Below are 18,478 nucleotides of genomic sequence, written 5' to 3'. Positions count from 1 at the left end.
CTAATACTCCTCCCCTGCCTCCATCATCCAAGGAGCCGACACCAGCAAACCATGTTTCCCACACCTCCTTGCCACTTGCCTTCAGTTCTGCTCAGCAATGCTTCTGGCTGACCTGTGATGAGTGGGAACGCCAGGGTGGGGTATGCTCCCTCCAGCCATCCTAAGGGAAGGGTTTACCCAAAGTCTAACTCCTATCCTGGTGTATTAGTTTGCTAGGGCTGCCATAACAAGTGCTGGAAAGACACTGGAGGCTGGAAGGAAGACAGAAGCAAGGGTGCTAGTTCCCCTCTCCTGCTCTGGACCATGCCCAGCAGTTGTTATATCTCTTCAGTGGTCTCAATTCCTATCCTTATTACCCAAGATCGCAGGCTCTAGAAACACTACCACCTCCCTTTCTCCCATCGACCCCATCTTTGAGTGGTTATAGCTCTTCTAATAACACCTTTATTATGAATTTAGCATATTAAACTCCTCCTATTAAAGTACCTGACGAGGGCTATGTTTTCTCAGCTGCGTCCCTTTAAGGCCCAGCCATATGTCTAAGGTTGGCTTCTTCTTATTACCTATAGTAGTGTTGCTTATTCACAGTGGTTAAGATGGGTGCTATATTTAAAATCCTCTCCCACACCTTTAGATCCCCTGGCAGAGTAACATTAATGGCTTTCCGGGGGATTGGCAGCATTTTCCCTTCTTCATGCCCAGCTTCTGTCACCATAACGAACAGGATAACTCCTCACGATAGTAGTTAAGTTGTAATTTTATTAGTTTATGCAAACTGGTATAATTCAGGTGTGGAGCAGTCAGATTTTTTTCCGTGCTCTAGTGACCTAGAAAAATTAGAGTGACAATATCATGAGGAATTCTTTTTTTTTTTTTTAGTCAGCCTAAATTTCACTGGGAAATCAGAAAACACATTTTTTGATGTGTGAAATGAAAGCTCATTCTCCTCAATTTTACTTAGTTTTCTTTCTGTAGTTGAGGTAAATAGGCAAGACTGTATTTCAGACATCACTAAATGAGAACATCATTTGAAACAACTCCATAGACTATTCCTTCTTCAGTTTTATTTGCCCAGGTCTGGGGAGTAGTGGTCTTTTCAGTCATAACACTGGCCCCTGTAAGTAGAATCTCAAGGTTTAACTCCTTTCCTGGTGTATTAGTTTGCTAGGGCCGCCGTAACAAGGTACCACAAATTGGGTGGCTTACGCAACAGAAAATTATTCTCTCACCCTTCTAGAAGCTAGAAATTCAAAATCGAGGTGACACCAGGGTTTGTTCTTTCTGAGGGCTGTGAGGAAGAATCTATTCTATGCCTCTCCCCTATCTTCTCATTGTGTGCTGGTCTTGGTGTTCCTTGGCTTATAGAGGCATCACTCCAGTTTCTGTCTGCCTTGATCTTCACATGGTATTCTCCCTGTGTGCCTGCATCCAAGTTTTCTCCAATCATAAATATAACGTACGTATTGGATTAAGGCCCACCCTAATGACCTCATTTTAACTTGACTACTTCAGTAAAGACCCTATCTCCAAATAAGGTCACATTCTGACGTATTGGGGAATATGTCTTCAAAATATGAATTTGACAGAAGGGACACAATTCAACCCATAGCATCTGATCTCCAAGGAAAGCCTTTTGGTATTCATGTCTTTAATTCAGGTAGACTGGGTTTATGTGCCTTCTACTTTTAATGTATTCACAGGTTTCTCTATGTCAGTGCCAAACACAAAACTCATTTGACCCAAAGGCCTTTTTCTCTATTTTTAATGTTCTTTTCACTGAGAATTGGAAGATTAACTTTAGGAAACTTTCCCCTTTAATCTTGAACATACTAAAGCAGACTGAGGATACTGTCCTAGATTCCATTTATTATTATTTGCAAATTAAGAATCACAATGAACGGGTAATATCGAGTTGTGTATTCCTATTAGTCAAGTCCTTTGAAGTCAGAACAATGGTAAAATATTTTCAGGCTATGTGACAGGAGTAAGAATAGGTGAAACACTGCAGACCCAGGAAGACATCCAGTCATTACACACTGCTAATGCAGAACTAGAACCACTCTGATGGATGTTCCTCTTCTTTTCCCCAAAACCCCTTAATTAATAAATTAATTAAGAAATTAATTTATTAAGTTCTTAAAAAACGTGTTTTCCTACTTCATATTCATTGTTTAGTTTCATTCATTCCTTCTAAACTTTCTGAGGGGAAATTGATTTTACAATATATAAAAAAGAAGGAAGGAAAAGTAGAGTGGACATACTTTAAATCATATAAAGAATCACTGATAGGCCTGGGACCAGACACAGAGTATGAGTCCTGGAAGAATGTCTGTATTTTCTATGATTCTATGTGACAGATATTGACATACAAAGGCCCACTTGACAAACATATAGAACACCTTCCTTTTCTTACTTATATAAAAATAAAACAAAAACACAAAAGCATTGTTTTTTTACAAGATCAAAATTGAAAGTGCTTAGGTCACAGCTCCTAAAGAACACATTCCTAGGGCAATCTAAACAAAACCAAGGCCACTATTCTCATGTTCATAAGCAAAAAGGTACCAACCATACAAAAGGAAAAGGCAACCAGCAACCATTAGTTTCATTCATTAAAAAAATTATTTCTCATTTCCCATAACCTTTACAATTCCTACTCTTCTGAAAAGGTATGTGCAGTGCATATATAATAAATGTATTCAGGGAAGAGTGTGATACTTGGATAAAAAAGTGGTTACACACATTAATTTGGGGGGAATACAGGATATTTAACGAGGAAGAAAACATTGCAGAAGAATGAACAGAGGTTCAGAATATTATTCCACTGCAGGTACCTATTTAGCTGGACACTCAAATGCCAAGTGACCAGCTGCATGGCTCAGCCACATGGACCTCATAACCCAGCCTCATTAAACGAAGCAACATGATCCACTTCCACAAGAAGCCTCTCACAGACTACTTTCCAACTGCCAGTCACTTAAGTGGTCAGTCATCTCTAGTTACTCTTTCCAGTCCTAGTCTAGTAATCCTAAACATCTTTAGAGTATCTTTTGTTTTTTTTCTCTTATGCCTAAGTCATCACCACTTGACTCATTTATCGTGTTAAAATACAGCAAGCACTTTTCATATATAAAGCCCCTTTGTTAAGACTAAGAACTGTGGCGTAATAAAGGGTGTCAGCAAAAATCAGAGAAACAAATACTCCTTTGAGAAGCTTCAATCTTCTGTGAACAACACGCTAAAAACTAGTTGATTATAACCTTCAATTAGAAAACATTTTTATACCCTGTATCTGGGGAAGGAAAGAAACTACCTAGTGGTCTTGTGATGGCAGTCGATTCTTTGTTGGGTCTTCATTGCATATTTAGTCATTGCAAAGGATCAAACGTATCAAAAAGTTTGGCAAGAAACCTTTCCTTCCTTTTCCAATTTCCCACATATTTTACAGACTTTGGCCCTTGAACACAAAAGCTGTATAAGCCTATTACTGTAAACTTATTCTGCCTGAAAATTAGTAGACAGAAGCAATCTTATGTTCTAATCATAGCCTAAAATTGCAGTTTTTGAGATTTGGAACCAAGCTGAAAATTATAAGTCAGAACAAAAGATATTTCAGTCCTTCACGTCTGGAAGAAAATTAGCATTAATACCTGTAGTCTCCAACTCCATATGGACCAAATGGAGGGAAAAGCATGTAATTTCAGTTGCTTTCTTTACTATCTCATTACCCTACTCCCTCATATCCATCTCACATTCATACTGTTTATATAAGCACATTTTCGTTTTCAGAACCCTATCACACACTAACTTTGAAACTCAATAATGTATTTCAATTTGAGTGGGTTTTTTTGCTATTGAAAACCAACAGTTACTGGTATATATGACAGTCATAATAATAATATAAGGCTTAAGAGATGGCTCCAGTGTCAAACTGCTGAAATTCTAATCCCAGTGCCATCACCACTTGCTATTAAGCTGAAACGTATAAAATTGCCTTTTTTGTAAGTAGGTCAAAAAATGATCTAACATTTACAATTTAATATGGTTCGATTTAATTGAAGTCTCATCTATCTGAAATAAGAGGAATAATAATAGTTACTTTGAGTAATTAATGAGATAATAAGTGTAAAGGATTTTGGTTGCATAATTACCTGTAACCAAAATAGCAAGTAATAAGTATAGCAAGGCAGAGCCTCTCAAATTTTAACATGCCTAGGAATTACCTGGGGATCCTACTCAAATGCAAATGCCAATTCAGTAGTTCTAGGATGGCGCCCAAGATTCTGCATTTCTACCAAGTTCCCAGATGATGCTGATGCTGCTGGTCTGAGAGCACTCTTTGACTAGCAAGGTTATAGGATGTTTCCCTTCTCTAATAAGAATCACCTGGAGGGGCGGGGCCAAGATAGCCGACTAGAAGCAGCAGCTATCAGAGGCTTCCATCGAAAAAAACCATAAAACAGCGTGCAAATCCTGCACCCACAACTGAGGTATCCAGGTTCTATCATCAGAACTGACTAGGTGGCTGGCGTGACCCACACAGAGGAAGGAAGAACAGTGTGGTGTGGCAGCCCACCCGAGAGCCACACAGGGCAGGGGAACCCCCACCCCCAGCCAAGAGAGGTGGTGAGTGAGAATCCTACCCAGCCTGGGAAACCGTGCTTTCTCCACGGAAGTGTGCAACCCACAGATCAGAAGATCCCATTCATGAACCCACGCCACTGGGGCATAGGGTCCCAACCATGGAGCCACACAGATTCTCAACAGCCACTCAGCGAGAATCTGCTTAAGCCTGCCAAGTTCCCCGGGGAGAGGGGCAGCAAGCACCACAGTTGCAGCTGCCTGCTGTCTAAGCCATTTGAGCTCCTTGCAGGGGGCACAGCAGCTAACATTGGGACTGCTAGCTGCCTAACACACTAAGCTCCCAGGGTTGGGGAAGGGCAGCTGCTCCAGGCCACGCCTTTCGCCTGCTGGAGCCAGGGAGACCGGACAGCTTGGTCCCAAGAGTTGTCCCCCATAGCCCAACACACTGGCTGTGGCCGGCTGCATCCAGAGTGCCTCTTCAGGCCTGACCATGACCCACCCCTCCTCACTGGGAGGGGCTTCCCTGCAGGAACTCCAACAACTCCAGCCAGGGGCTCAGGAACAAACTCTGATCTCCCTGGGCCTGAGCCCCTGTGGGGAGGAGTGGCCACAATCCCCACAGACCAGCAGACTTAGTATTTCCTCCTGCTGGTTCTGAGGAATCTGGGCAGCCCAGATGAGTGGGTTTCCCCCCAGCAAAGCACACCTTCTCCACCAAGGGACAGCCAAAGTGCTTTGTTAAATGGGTCCTGCTCCCTGTGCCACCCAACTTGGAGAGACCCTCCAACAGGGGTTGTCAGACACCCTATACAGGAGCATTCCTACTGGCATCAGGACAGTGCCTTTCAAGGTCAAAGATCCCAGAGGAAGGAGCAGGCACCCATCTTGGCTGTTCTCCAGTCTCCTTGAGTGACATCTCCAGGTGCAGGAGTGAACCAGATGAATAGGGCATGAAGTGAACCCCCAGCAAACCACAGCAGCCCTACAGAAGGAGGACCTGACCACTGAAAGAAAAACAAACAAAAAAACAGAAAGCAACAGCAACAGTATCAACAAAAAATATTTCCACAAAAACCTCATCCAAGGGTCAGCAGCCTCAAAGATCAAAACTAGACAAACTCATGAAGATGAGAAAGAATCAATTAAAAAAAACACTGAAAACCCAAAAGGCCAGAGTGCTTCTTCTCCTCCAAATGATTGCAATGCCTCTCCAGCAAGGACACAGAGCTGGATGGAGGATGAGATGGATGAATTGACAGAAGTAGGCTTCAGAAGATGGATAATAACAACTCCACTGAGCTAAAGGAGCACGTTCTAACCTAATGCAAAGAAGCTAAGAAACTTGATAAAAGGTTACAGGATCTGCTAACTAGAATAACCAGTTGAGACAGGAATATAAATGACCTGATGGAGCTGAAAAACACAGCACGAGAACTTTGTGAAGCACACACAAGTATCAATAGCCGAATCGACCAAGCAGAAGAAAAGATACAGAATTTGAAAGCCATCTTGCTGAAATAAGGCATGCAGACAAGATTATCGAAAAAAGAATGAAAAAGGAATGAACAAAACCTCCAAGAAATATGGGACTATGTAAAAAGACTGAAACTATGATTGATTGGAGTACCTGAAAGAGACGGGAAGAATGGAACCAAGTTGGAAAACACACTTCAGGATATTATCCGGGGGAACTTCCCCAACCTAGCAAGACAGGCTAACATTCAAATTCAGGAAATACAGAGAACATCACTGAGATACTCCCTGAGATGATCAGCCTCAAGAAACAAAATCATCAGATTCTCCAAGGTCAAAATGAAGGAAAAAATGTTCAGTGCAGCCACAGAGAAGGGCCAGGTCACCTGCAGAGGGAAGCCCATCAGACTAATAGTGGATCTCTCAACAGAAACCCTACAAGCCAGAAGAAAGAGAGGGCCAATAGTCAACATTCTTAAAGAAAAGAATTTTTAACCCAGAATTTCATATCCAGCCAAACTGAGCTTCATAAGTGAAGGAGAAATAAAATCCTTTACAGACAAGCAAATGCTGAGGGATTTCATCACCACCAGGCCTGCCTTGCAAGAGCTTCTGAAGGAAGCACTAAATATGGAAAGGAAAAACTGGTACCAGCCACTGCAAAAACACACCAAAATATAAAGACCAATGACAGTATGAAGAAACTATATCAACTTGTGTGCAAAATAACCAGATAGTATCATGATGACAGGATTAACTTCACACATAACAATATTTACCTTAAATATAAATGGGCTAAATGCCCCAATTAAAAGACACAGACTGGCAAATTGGATAAAGAGTCAAGACCTACTGGTGTGCTGTATTCAGGAGACCCATCTCACATGCAAAGACACACATAGGCTCAAAAGAAAGGGATGGAGGAATATTTACCAAGCAAATGGAAGGCAAAAAAAAAGAAAAGAAAAAAGCAAGGGTTGCAATCCTAAGCTCTGATAAAACAGACTTTAAGCCAACAACAATCAAAAAAGACAAAGAAGGGCATTACATAATGGTAAAGGGATCAATTCAACAAGAAAAGCTAACTATCCTAAATATATATGCACCCAATACAGGAGCACCCAAATTCATAAAACAAGTTTTTAGAGACCTACAAGGAGACTTAGACTCCCGCACAATAATAGTGGGAAAATTTAACACCCCATTGTCAATATTAGACAGATCAACAAGGCAGAAAATTAAGAAGGATATTCAGGACTTGAACTGAGCTCTGGATCAAGTGGACCATCAAGAAGTTTTTTGAAACCAATGAGAACAAAGAGACAGCATTCCAGAATCTCTGGGACACAGCTAAAGCATTGTTAAGAGGGAAATTTATAGCACTAAATCCCCATATCAGAAAGCTAGAAAGATCTCAGATCGACACCCTAACATCACAATTAAAGAGCTAGAGAAGCAAGAGCAAACAAATCCAAAAGCTAGCAGAAGACAAGAAATAACTAAGATCAGAGCAGAACTGAAGGAGATGGAGACATGAAGGGGTGGCCTGCCCCTCCACACCTGTGGGTATTTCTAGTCGGGTGGGACGAGAGACTGAGAAAAGAAATAAGACACAGAGACAAAGTGTAGAGAAACAACAGTGGACCCAGGGGACCGGTGCTCAGCATACCAAGGACCTGCACCGGTCTCTGAGTTCCCTCAGTTTTTATTGATTATTATTTTCATTATTTCAGCAAAAAGGAATGTAGTAGGAGAGCAGGGTGATAATAAAGAGAAGGTCAGCAACAAACAAACATGTAAGCAATAGAATCTATGTCATAATTAAGTTCAAGGGAAAGTACTATGCCTGGATGTGCACGTAGGCCAGATTTATGTTTCTCTCCACCCAAACATCTCAGTGGAGTAAAGAATAACAAGGCAGCATTGCTGTAAACATGTCTCGCCTCCCACCATAGGGCGGTTTTTCTCCTATCTCAGAATTGAACAAATGTACAATCGGGTTTTATGCCGAGACATTCAGTTCCCAGGGGCAGGCAGAAGACAGTGGCCTTCCTCTATCTCAACTGCAAGAGGCTTTCCTCTTTTACTAATCCACCTCAGCACAGATCCTTTACAGGTGTTGGGCTGGGGGACGGTCAGGTCTTTCTCATCCCACAAGTCCAATTTCAGACTATCACATGGGGAGAAACCTTGGACAATGCCCCACTTTCAAAGGCAGAGTTCCCTGTGGGTTTCTGCAGTGCATTGTGCCCCTGGTTTATTGAGACTAGAGAATGGCGATGACTTTTACCAAGTATACTGCTTGTAAACATTTTGTTAACAAGGCACGTCCTGCACAGCCCTAGATCCCTTAAACCTTGATTTCATACAACACATGTTTTTGTGAGCTCCAGATTGGGTCAAAGTGGTTGGGTCAAAGTGGCTGGGGCAAAGCTACAAATTAACAACATCTCAGCAAAGCAATTATTTTAAAGTACAGGTCTTTTTCAAAATGGTGTCTCTTATGTCTTCCCTTTCTACATAGACACAGTAACAGTCTGATCTCTCTTTCTTTTCCCTACAGAGACACGAAAAACCCTTCAAAAAATCAATGAATCCAGGAGCTGGTTTTTTGAGAAAAAAATAAAATAAAAAAGACTACTAGCTAGACTAATAAAGAAGGAAAGAGAGAAGAATCAAATAGACAAAATAAAAAATGATAAAGGAGATATCACCACTGATCCCACAGAAATATAAACTATCTTCAGAGAATACTATAAACACCTCTACGCAAATAAACTAGAAAATCTAGAGGAAATGGATAAATTCCTGGACACACACACCCTCCCCAGACTAAGCCAGGAAGAAGTCGTATCCCTGAAGAGACCAATAACAAGTTCTGAAATTGAGGCAGCAATTAATACCCTACCAACCAAAAAAAAAAAAAAAAACAGCCCAGGACCAAACAGATTCACAGCCAAATTCCACCAGAGGTACAAAGAGGAGCTGGTACCATTCCTTCTGAAGTTATTCCAAGCAATTGAAAAGGAAGTACTCCTCCCTGACCCATTGTATGAGACCAGCATCATCCTGATACCAAAACCTGACAGAAACACAACAACAACAACAAAAACTTCAGGCCAATATCCCTGATGACCATCGATGCAAAAATCCTCAATGAAATACTAGTAAACTGAATCCAGTGGCACGTCAAAAAGCTTGAGTCAGCTTCATCCCTGGGATGCAAGGCTGGTTCAACATATGCAAATCAATAAATGTAATCCATCACATAAACAGCACCAATGACAAGAACCACATGATTATCTCAATAGATGCAGAAAAAGGCCTTCGATAAAATTCAACATCCATGCATGTTAAAAACTCTTAATAAACTAGGTATTTGATGGAACATAGCTCAAAATAATAAGAGCTATTTAGGACAAACCCACGGCCAATATCACACTGAACGGGCAAACGCTGGAAGCATTCCCTTTGAAAACAGGCACAAGACAAGGATGCCCTCTCTCACCACCCCTATTCGACATAGTGTTGGAAGTTCTGGCCAGGGCAATCGGGCAAGAGGAAGAAATAAAGGGTATTCGAATGGGAAGAGAGAAAGTCAAATTATCTCTGCAGATGACATAATTCTGTGTATAGAAAACCTCATTGTCTCAGCCCCAAAACAACTTAAGCTGATAAGCAACTTCAGCAAAGTCTCAGGATACAAAATCAATGTGCAAAAATCACAAGCATTTGTATACACCAATAATAGACAAGCAGAGAGCCAAATCATGAGTGAACTCCCATTCACAATTGCCACAAAGAGAATAAAATACCTAGGAACACAGCTAACAAGGGATGTGAAGGACCTCTTAAAGGAGAACCACTACTCAAGGAAATAGGACACAAACAAGTGGAAAAACATTCCATGCTTATTGATAGGAAGAATCAATATCATGACAATGGCTATACTGCCCAAAGTAATTTATAGATTCACTGCTATTCCCATCAAGCTACCATTGACATTCTTCACAGAGTTAGAAAAAAACTATTTTAAATTTCATATTCAACCAAAAACGAACCCGTATGGCCAAGACACCTAAGCAAAATGAACAAAGCTGGAGACCTCACGCTACCTGACTTAAAACTGTACTACAAGGCTACAGTAACCAAAAAAGCATGGTACTGGTACCAAAACAGACATGTAGACCAATGGAACAGAATGGAGACCTCAGAAATAAAACCACACATCTACAACCATCTGATCTTCGACAAATCTGACAAAAACAAGCAATGGGGAAAGGATTCCCTACCTAATAAATGGTGTTGGGAAAACTGGCTAGCCATATGCAGAAAACTGAAACTGGACCCCTTCCTTACACCTTATAAAAAATTAACTCAAGATGGATTAAAGACTTAAATGTAAAACCCAAAACCATAAAAACCCTAGAAGAAAACCTAGGCAATACCATTCAGGACATAGGCATAGGCAAAGATTTCATGACAAAAACATCAAAAGCAATTGCAACAAAAGCCAAAATTGATAAATGGGATCTAATTAAACTAAAGAGCTTCTGCACAGCAAAACAAACTATCATCAGAGTGGACAGGCAACCTACAGAATGGCAGAAAATTTTTGCAATCTACCCATCTTACAAAGGTCTCATATCCAGAATCTACAAGGAATTTAAACAAATTTACAAGAAAAAATCCAACAATCCCATCAAAAAGTGAGTGAAGGATATGAACTGACACTTCTCAAAAGAAGACATTTATGTGGTCAACAAACATAAGGAAAAGAGCTCAACATCATTAGAGAAATGCAAATCAAAACCAAAATGAGATATCATCTCACGCCAGTCACAATGGTGATTATTAAAAAGTCAAGAAACAATAGATGCTGGCGAGGCTGTGGAGAGATAGGAATGCTTTTACACTGTTGGTAGTAGTATAAATTAGCTCAACCATTGTGGAAGACAGTGTTTTACACAAGGATCTAGAACCAGAAATACCATTTGACCCAGCAATCCCATTACTGGGTATATGCCCAAAGGAATATAAATCATTCTACTATAAAGACACATGCACATGTATGTTTATTGCAGCACTATTTACAGTAGCAAAGACATGGAACAAACCCAAATGCCCATCAATGATAGACTGGATAAAGAAAATGTGGTACATATACACCATGGAATACTACACAGCCATACAAATGAATAAGTTCATCTCCTTTGCAGGGACTTGGATGAAGCTGGAAGCCATCATCCTCAGCAAACTAACACAGGAACAGAAAACCAAACACCGCATGTTCTCACTCATAAGTGGGAGTCGAACAATGAAAACACATGGACACAGGGAAGGGAACAACACACACCAGGGCCTGTTGGGGGCTGGAGGGGGCGGTGAGGGGACGGAACCTAGACGATGGGTTAATAGGTGCAGCAAACCACCATGGCACACATATACCTATGAAACAAACCTGCACATTCTGCATATATATCCCAGAACTCAAAGTAAAATAATAAAGTAAAATAAAATAAAAAATAAGGACTCACCTGGAGCATTTGTTAAAAATACTACTTCCCAGGCCCCTTCTTTGGAGACTTCTGCTCATTCAGTAGGTCTGGGACCAGGCCCAGGTTTTGTTTTTTTTTAAACAAGTACCTGCAGGTGAGTCTCATTATGAGGAAAGTATGAGAAGCAGTATTGTAAACAAGAGGGATGGAAACCAAATTCTATGTGAATTAAGAGTAGGAAAGAAGTTATTTCCAGCAGAGAGGTCGGAGAAAGCTTCCCAGGGGAGACAAACCTTGAAAGATGGGTAGGATTTGACACTAGAGAGATGTGGAGGAGAGTATTTCAGAGTGAAACTAGAATGAGTGAAAACAGAGAGGGGATACTGTGGCACAGTGGGAGCCCATATAAGTAGTTCTGTTCATCTGGAGTATAGGATTCATGAAGGAGAAGATCTCAAATACCATATGAAGACATTTAGACTTTATTTTGAAAAAAATTTGAAAGATGTTGTCTGTTCCTGAGCAGAGAAGTGACGTGATCAGAGCACCATGACTGTTCATGGATTGAAGCTGGGCCCAGATTGGACAAAGAGGAATCTTCATAGATTTGGAAGCCACTCCTGTGGCTGGGAGAACTGAGGGCTTAATGTGACAAACTCAGGATTCAGCCTTTCTTTGTCTCAGCTTCATTAAGGGGAAAATATCCATTAAACATCGAGGTGGTGTTGTGACAAGTGATTTTCTAAGGTGAAGTCCCCCCTCCGTATTCATGGGGGATTGGTTCTAGGCCCCACAGATACCAAAGTCTAGGGATGCCCAAGTCCCTGATATAAAATGACATGGTATTTGCACCTATGCACATCCTCTTGTATACTTTAAATCATCACTAGACTACTTACAATGCCTAATGCAATGTAAATGCTATGAAATAGTTGTTATACTCTGTTGTTTAGGGAATAATAAAAAGAAAAAAGTCTCTGCATGTTTAGTACAGGTGCAATTTTTTAAATATTTTCAATCTGCAGATGGTTGACTCTATGATTGTGGAATCCATAGACACCAAGGGCTGACTGTATTTGTTTTGTTAGTCATTTCAAAGAGAATCATCTGTGAACTGATGTGTGGAGCCCCACAGCAATGGAACGATGGGAGAGTCCTTTGCAAATCACAAGTAAGATTAATCCTCATCATCCACAGAGACTTCCAGAAATTCAGATGGGGGCCGGTTGCAGTGGCTCATGCTTGTAATCCCAGCACTTTGGGAGGCTGAGGCGGGCAGATCACCTGAGGTCAGGAGTTCAAGACCAGCCTGGCCAACATGATGAAACCCCAACTCTGCTAAAAATACAAAATTAGCTGGGTGTGGTGGCGCGTGCCTGTAATCCCAGCTACTTGGGAAGCTGAGGCAGGAGAATTGCTTGAACCAGGGAGTCAGAGGTTGCAGTGAGCCGAGATTGTGCCACTGCACTCCAGCCTGGTGACATAGCAAGACTCCCTCTCAAAAAAAAAAAAAAAAAAAGAAGGGTGAAACTACGTCTCAAAAAAAAAAAATTCAGATGGTGTTCTGAAAATTCCTTGCAGCTCACTCAAACCTAATTTCTCTAAGATGCTTCATCTCTTCCTAAAACAGCATTTTATGAAGTCCATCCCCTGAAATCCAGAGTGATTACTAACTAAATAAGCCTGTCTTCAGAAAGCCATAGCCTTTCAACTCAAGGACACTCATAAAACATCCTCTCTATTTTTTAGAACAATGTATTATTAATGCATCAAAGTGTTTAACCTTTTCCAAAGAGAGTAATCGGATGGATGGATGGATGGATGGATGGATGGATGGATGGATGGATGGATGGATGGATAAGTGAGTAGATTAATAAATATATGGATGGATGAATAAGATATTTACCCATCCCCCCAATGTTATTAGAAAGCTAAGCTTTACTCTCAAACTTCAAGCTCCAATCTTTCTGTTGTACCTCCCACCACACTGGTGACCCTCCTAGCTAGCATTCCTGCTGCACTGGCACCCTTTCTCCAGAATTATTCCCACCTGAGGGCCACTGGGCTTTCCCAGGGTCCAGCTAGGAAGCTGCCTCTCTGCCCATTGCGATCTGCCGCTTGCTGAGGCATTTGCTGTCTAAGTGGTCATGTTTGGCCCAATGTCTCAGAGCCAGTGTTGTTCTGGTAACAATAAATGTTTTATTTCCCCTCGTTCATGGGCTTAGATATTCAACCAAGGCAGACTTCTCAAACACTGAAGTCATACCATCTTACACGCTTTAACCTTTTTTTTTTTTTTCCAATGGCAAATGAGATTCAAGAGCATTCTGAGAGGAGCTGGACTGGCCTGGATGATGCAAATTGAATAAGATTTGTGTGTACCCTGCACATTTGCTCAAGAAAATAAGAAAGGAAAAACCCTATTTCATGCTCCAGGAACCCAAGAGAATTATATAGTATGTAGGAATGTGCAATGAAAAAAAATTGATTTGAGGAAAGTAACTGTAGGACAAAGGTATTAATAATGACTTCTAAACCTGCAGTATTGAAGATGCCCTCCACAAGGCCCAAATACACATAATTTTTTTTTCAATATAATACATGTGTACTTGGATATTTTTGCCTCAGAAACAGCCGGCACACGCAGCCTCTGGAATCCCATGTGTTCCACTGTGTACAGTACTTCTGTTGCAGCTGACAAGCATAAATAGTCCTGAAATAGTACTTTGTGCTTTTATTCTCTTTAATGCAAGTAAACACAGGCACTGCTACCAAGGATGCTTAAGGCATTCTCAGCACTACTGATAACTTATTACAGGACATTTAACTTCTGTTTCTCTGTTAATCCCTCTGTAAAAAGGAAACAATACCAACTCATACAATAGAAAATAACAGCTGCTATTTGTTAAGTGCCAACTCTGCATGAGGCCCTTGGTACTGTACCAGTACCAGTATCCTTACATCAACCTGCCAGCATAGTTTTATCATTGCACCCATTTTACAGATGAAAAACTCTAAAACTCAGAGGCTAAATCACATGCCCAAAGTCACACAGTGTATTAGGCCATTCTCGTATTGCTATAAAAAAATACCTGAGACTGGGTAATTTATAAGGAAAAGAGCTGTAATTGGCTCATGGTTCTGCAGGCTGTACAAGCATGGCACTGACATCACTGGACTCCTGGGGAGGCCTCAGGGAGCTTTTACTCATGGCAGAAGGCAAAGCAGGAGCAGGCACATCACGTGGCAAAAGCAGGAGAGAGAGAGAGGGAGAAAAATAAAGAGAGAGGGAGGAGAGAGAGAAGTGAGAGAAAGAGGGAGGGTAGGTGGGAGGGAGAGATACTATGTGGAAACTCCCAGTAGGCTGGTAGAAAAGTAAATGGGGAGACAGCCTACCATACACACTTCACTAATTACTCCTCATCAGTTATCTCCAACCTCACCCCTGGGATCTCACTCTTCTGAACTCACTGTAATAAACTACAACACCGTTTCTCAGTTCTCCCAACTTCCACAACACTTACATAAGTGTCCTTTTGTGGCCACCAGGCATATTTTAACCTCGAAGGGGAGTTTTGGTAGGTAGAACCAGGGGCTTGACCACTGCCCCTATCATGGCTGAATAAGAAAAGGGAAAGCATTCACCAGAAAACAATAATGTAGAATTTGAGAAGAGTATTACCATCCTCCCAAAAATTGCTACACTAAGCACTATCACAAAGACAGTTTTATGATTTTTCAGGCACCCTGGTCTACTTCACTAGGAAAAAGAAATATATAGCAATTTCTCTCAATCACTTTTAGACAGGTTTTATCCCACCAACTTAATAAAATCACAAGGCTTTGTTCACAGGCATAATTTGCAGATTTGGGAAGATGCTCATATATTTGATTCTTGATCAATATGTAGATTCTCCTTTAGCTACCACATTACTAAGAGGTCATCTGCAGTCATCCATCCATATATAAATTAACTCCACATTATCCAAGCCCTCTGAGTCTGGAGATATACTGCTAACCTCAGTGTTTGGGGGAGCTGGCCTCAGGGCTGCAGGGCAAGATGGATCACATTTGTTTAACTGCATGTTTGGGTTAACCAAAAGCCAGCTAATCAGAACCACATGGTATTTAAGCGAACGTCTTTGTGTCTATAAAATAGATTCCTGAAAACTAAGTAAAACTTGTTTAACCAAATGTGCTGTTCTCATTAGCTCACTACTCTTAATGTTTGCTCATAAAAGCTGATTTTGGTCACACTAGTGGTCATCTAAGGGAAGGTCCATATCATAACAAACCTCATGATGACCAAACAGCAGACATATGAAAGAGACACTTCTGCATCAAGACCAGGGTCAAAAATGGAATGCTGGAGTCGTGTTGCTTTCCATGACATCTTTACCCAGCCTCAGGAGCTGCACCAGTAAACTAATGTCATGGTTTTTGCTAGGTTAAGAGTTGAGAAAGAAATAAGATACAACCTAATTACATGATTTCTACCTGGGGTTAGAATAATCTTAGGAGCAAGAAAAGAAAATATGAGTGGAGTCAAATGGGCATATGTCTTTGATCTTTTTGTCTTCTTTTGCCCGTGGTATATCTCTTTTGCAACTTCTTTCATGATAGAAGAATATCCTTCCTCCTTTCTCTTCTTTCATTCCTTTTTTCCTTCCTTCCTTCTGTATCCACTATATACTCAAATTTTCTAACTCTTGAAGGAAGAGGGAAGAAAGGTGAGGGAAGGAAATACAGCCTTGAAATTAAGCTCTGGGAAACAAAATAAGCAGCCCACACATGACTCATGCGGGGAGTTTTGACTTCAGTTTGCATGTCTAGAGAGAGCTGTGGGTTTCAATCCCACCCAGAAGCCATAGATCGAGGAGAGGCTTTCTCTTTCTTCCACCCCTCCTACCTCATTCCTAACCTAATTGAGACCATGCCCTCCCTTAGAGACACTAAATAATTAGATGTGAACTATCAAATGGCTGTGATTCATCCATGATATAGTTATTAGCAGTCTCACATTGCCCTTATTTTTCATGATAACCCCAATATGGAATAGTAAGCATAGACACTTAACCACTGCGTGGAGAGCCCCAGTGGAGAGAAGGTTGGAAAGCCTGCAGAGCTGCAGCAACTGGGAGCTGCCCCACGTGAAAGGAAACGTGGCACTGTGTTCCCAAGGAGATAGTAGCGGATTACCACTCAAAGGCGGGGTGGACAACTTGGCTTTTGTTCCTGTGGGTTTATTCATTGTTCTGATGCAACTGGCAGCATTTTTATGAGTCAAAAAAAAAAAAAAAAGCCTGATGGTTGGAGATGAACTGGTCTTTGAGTCACAAAAAACTTCCTGATGTGTTTATTCAACTGTGATTCTAAAACAGCTTTGTCTCACCTGAAATAGGGACTCAGTACCTTCAAGCACTACGGTTATGAAGACTAAGATACTGAGATCTTAAACTGCCCACTAATTAGACCTTACTAAGCCACGTGACTTGCTCTGGGAGCAATAGTGGGAGTAGTAGTGGATGTACATATCAATATATCCAGCACAGAAAAAAAGCAATATTGTTTTCTCTTCTTTCACACTGACACCTCATCACCTCACATCTGGATGGCTGCACCAGCTGGTCTCTCCTACCTCAAGACATGCAGCAGTCGACAAATCAGCCTTAAGCACTGCTTCCATCATATCATCTCCCTGCTCAGTAACCTAAATTCCTGCTTGCTGAAGCAAATCTAAACTCCATTATCAGGCTACTTAAGGCCCTCCCTAACTCGATCCTCCAATGTGCCTACCCAACCTTATTTCCTAGTAACTTCTAATATTAATTCACTGTGTGGTCCCCCTTAATCTCTCCCTTACTGTATACCACATGCATTTTTGTGCTCAGTTCTATCATTGTCACTCTCCTTTACTGCTCTATATATGGAGAATGACCTTCATCAAATCTATGCATATAAGTCCGACTTAGCATTAAAGCCCCACCACCCAAAAACTTCATCCTACACTGAAGATGCCTCCTCTGAACTCCTACATAATTTATAGTCTGTCCCAAGTAGGTTACTATTTAATTATTGTGGCAGATATTGTAAATTTTCTGCCAGTTTCTATCATTCTCTTCTTCCTTTAAGTAATAGAATATTTTGTTTTTTATCTAAGCACATGGCTCCCAACTAAGGGCTGTATCTCCTAGCTTCTATATGAGCATGTAACCTAAATTTTGCCATGAATGTGAGCAGAAATCAATTATACAATTTCTTCACATCCTGTGAAAACAAAGACAGCATCTAAACAATTTTGGAAATTTTAATTCTAGTTAATTGATAGAACAAGTACAGATAAAATCAATAAAGACATAAGAACACTTTTTTTAAAAAAGCTATAAGCCAATTTGACCTATTTGGTATTTATAAAACACTAGACCCAATAGGAGCCAAATACACATTCAACTTGTATGCTTATGAAACATTCAGCAAGATAGAACACTTATAGTTTGGCTATAAACACATTTTAATAAATTTAAAAGATTGACATATAGAATATATTCTCTGACCACAACAAGAGAATTAATGAAGAAATTAATAAAAATAAGATATCTGGAAAAATCCTCAAGTATTTGGAAATTAAACAACATATATCTAAATAATTCATGAATAAATCAAAAGTCAATTGATTGGATTGAAGGATGCAAAGTATTGTTCCTGGGTGTGTCTGTGAGGGTGTTGCCAAAGGATATCAACATTTGAGTCAGTGGACTGGGAAAGGCAGACCCACCCTCAAACTGGGTAAGCACAATCTAATCAGCTGCCAGTGCGGCCAGAATAAAAGCAGGCAGAAGAACGTGGGAAGACTAGACTGCTTTAGTCTTCTGGCCTACATCTTTCTCCCGTGCTGGATGCTTCCTTCCCTCAAACACTGGACT

This window comes from Homo sapiens, chromosome 5 (genome assembly GCF_000001405.40).
Source record: "Homo sapiens chromosome 5, GRCh38.p14 Primary Assembly".
Taxonomy (NCBI): domain Eukaryota; kingdom Metazoa; phylum Chordata; class Mammalia; order Primates; family Hominidae; genus Homo; species Homo sapiens.
This window is presented reverse-complemented; position numbering follows the sequence as displayed.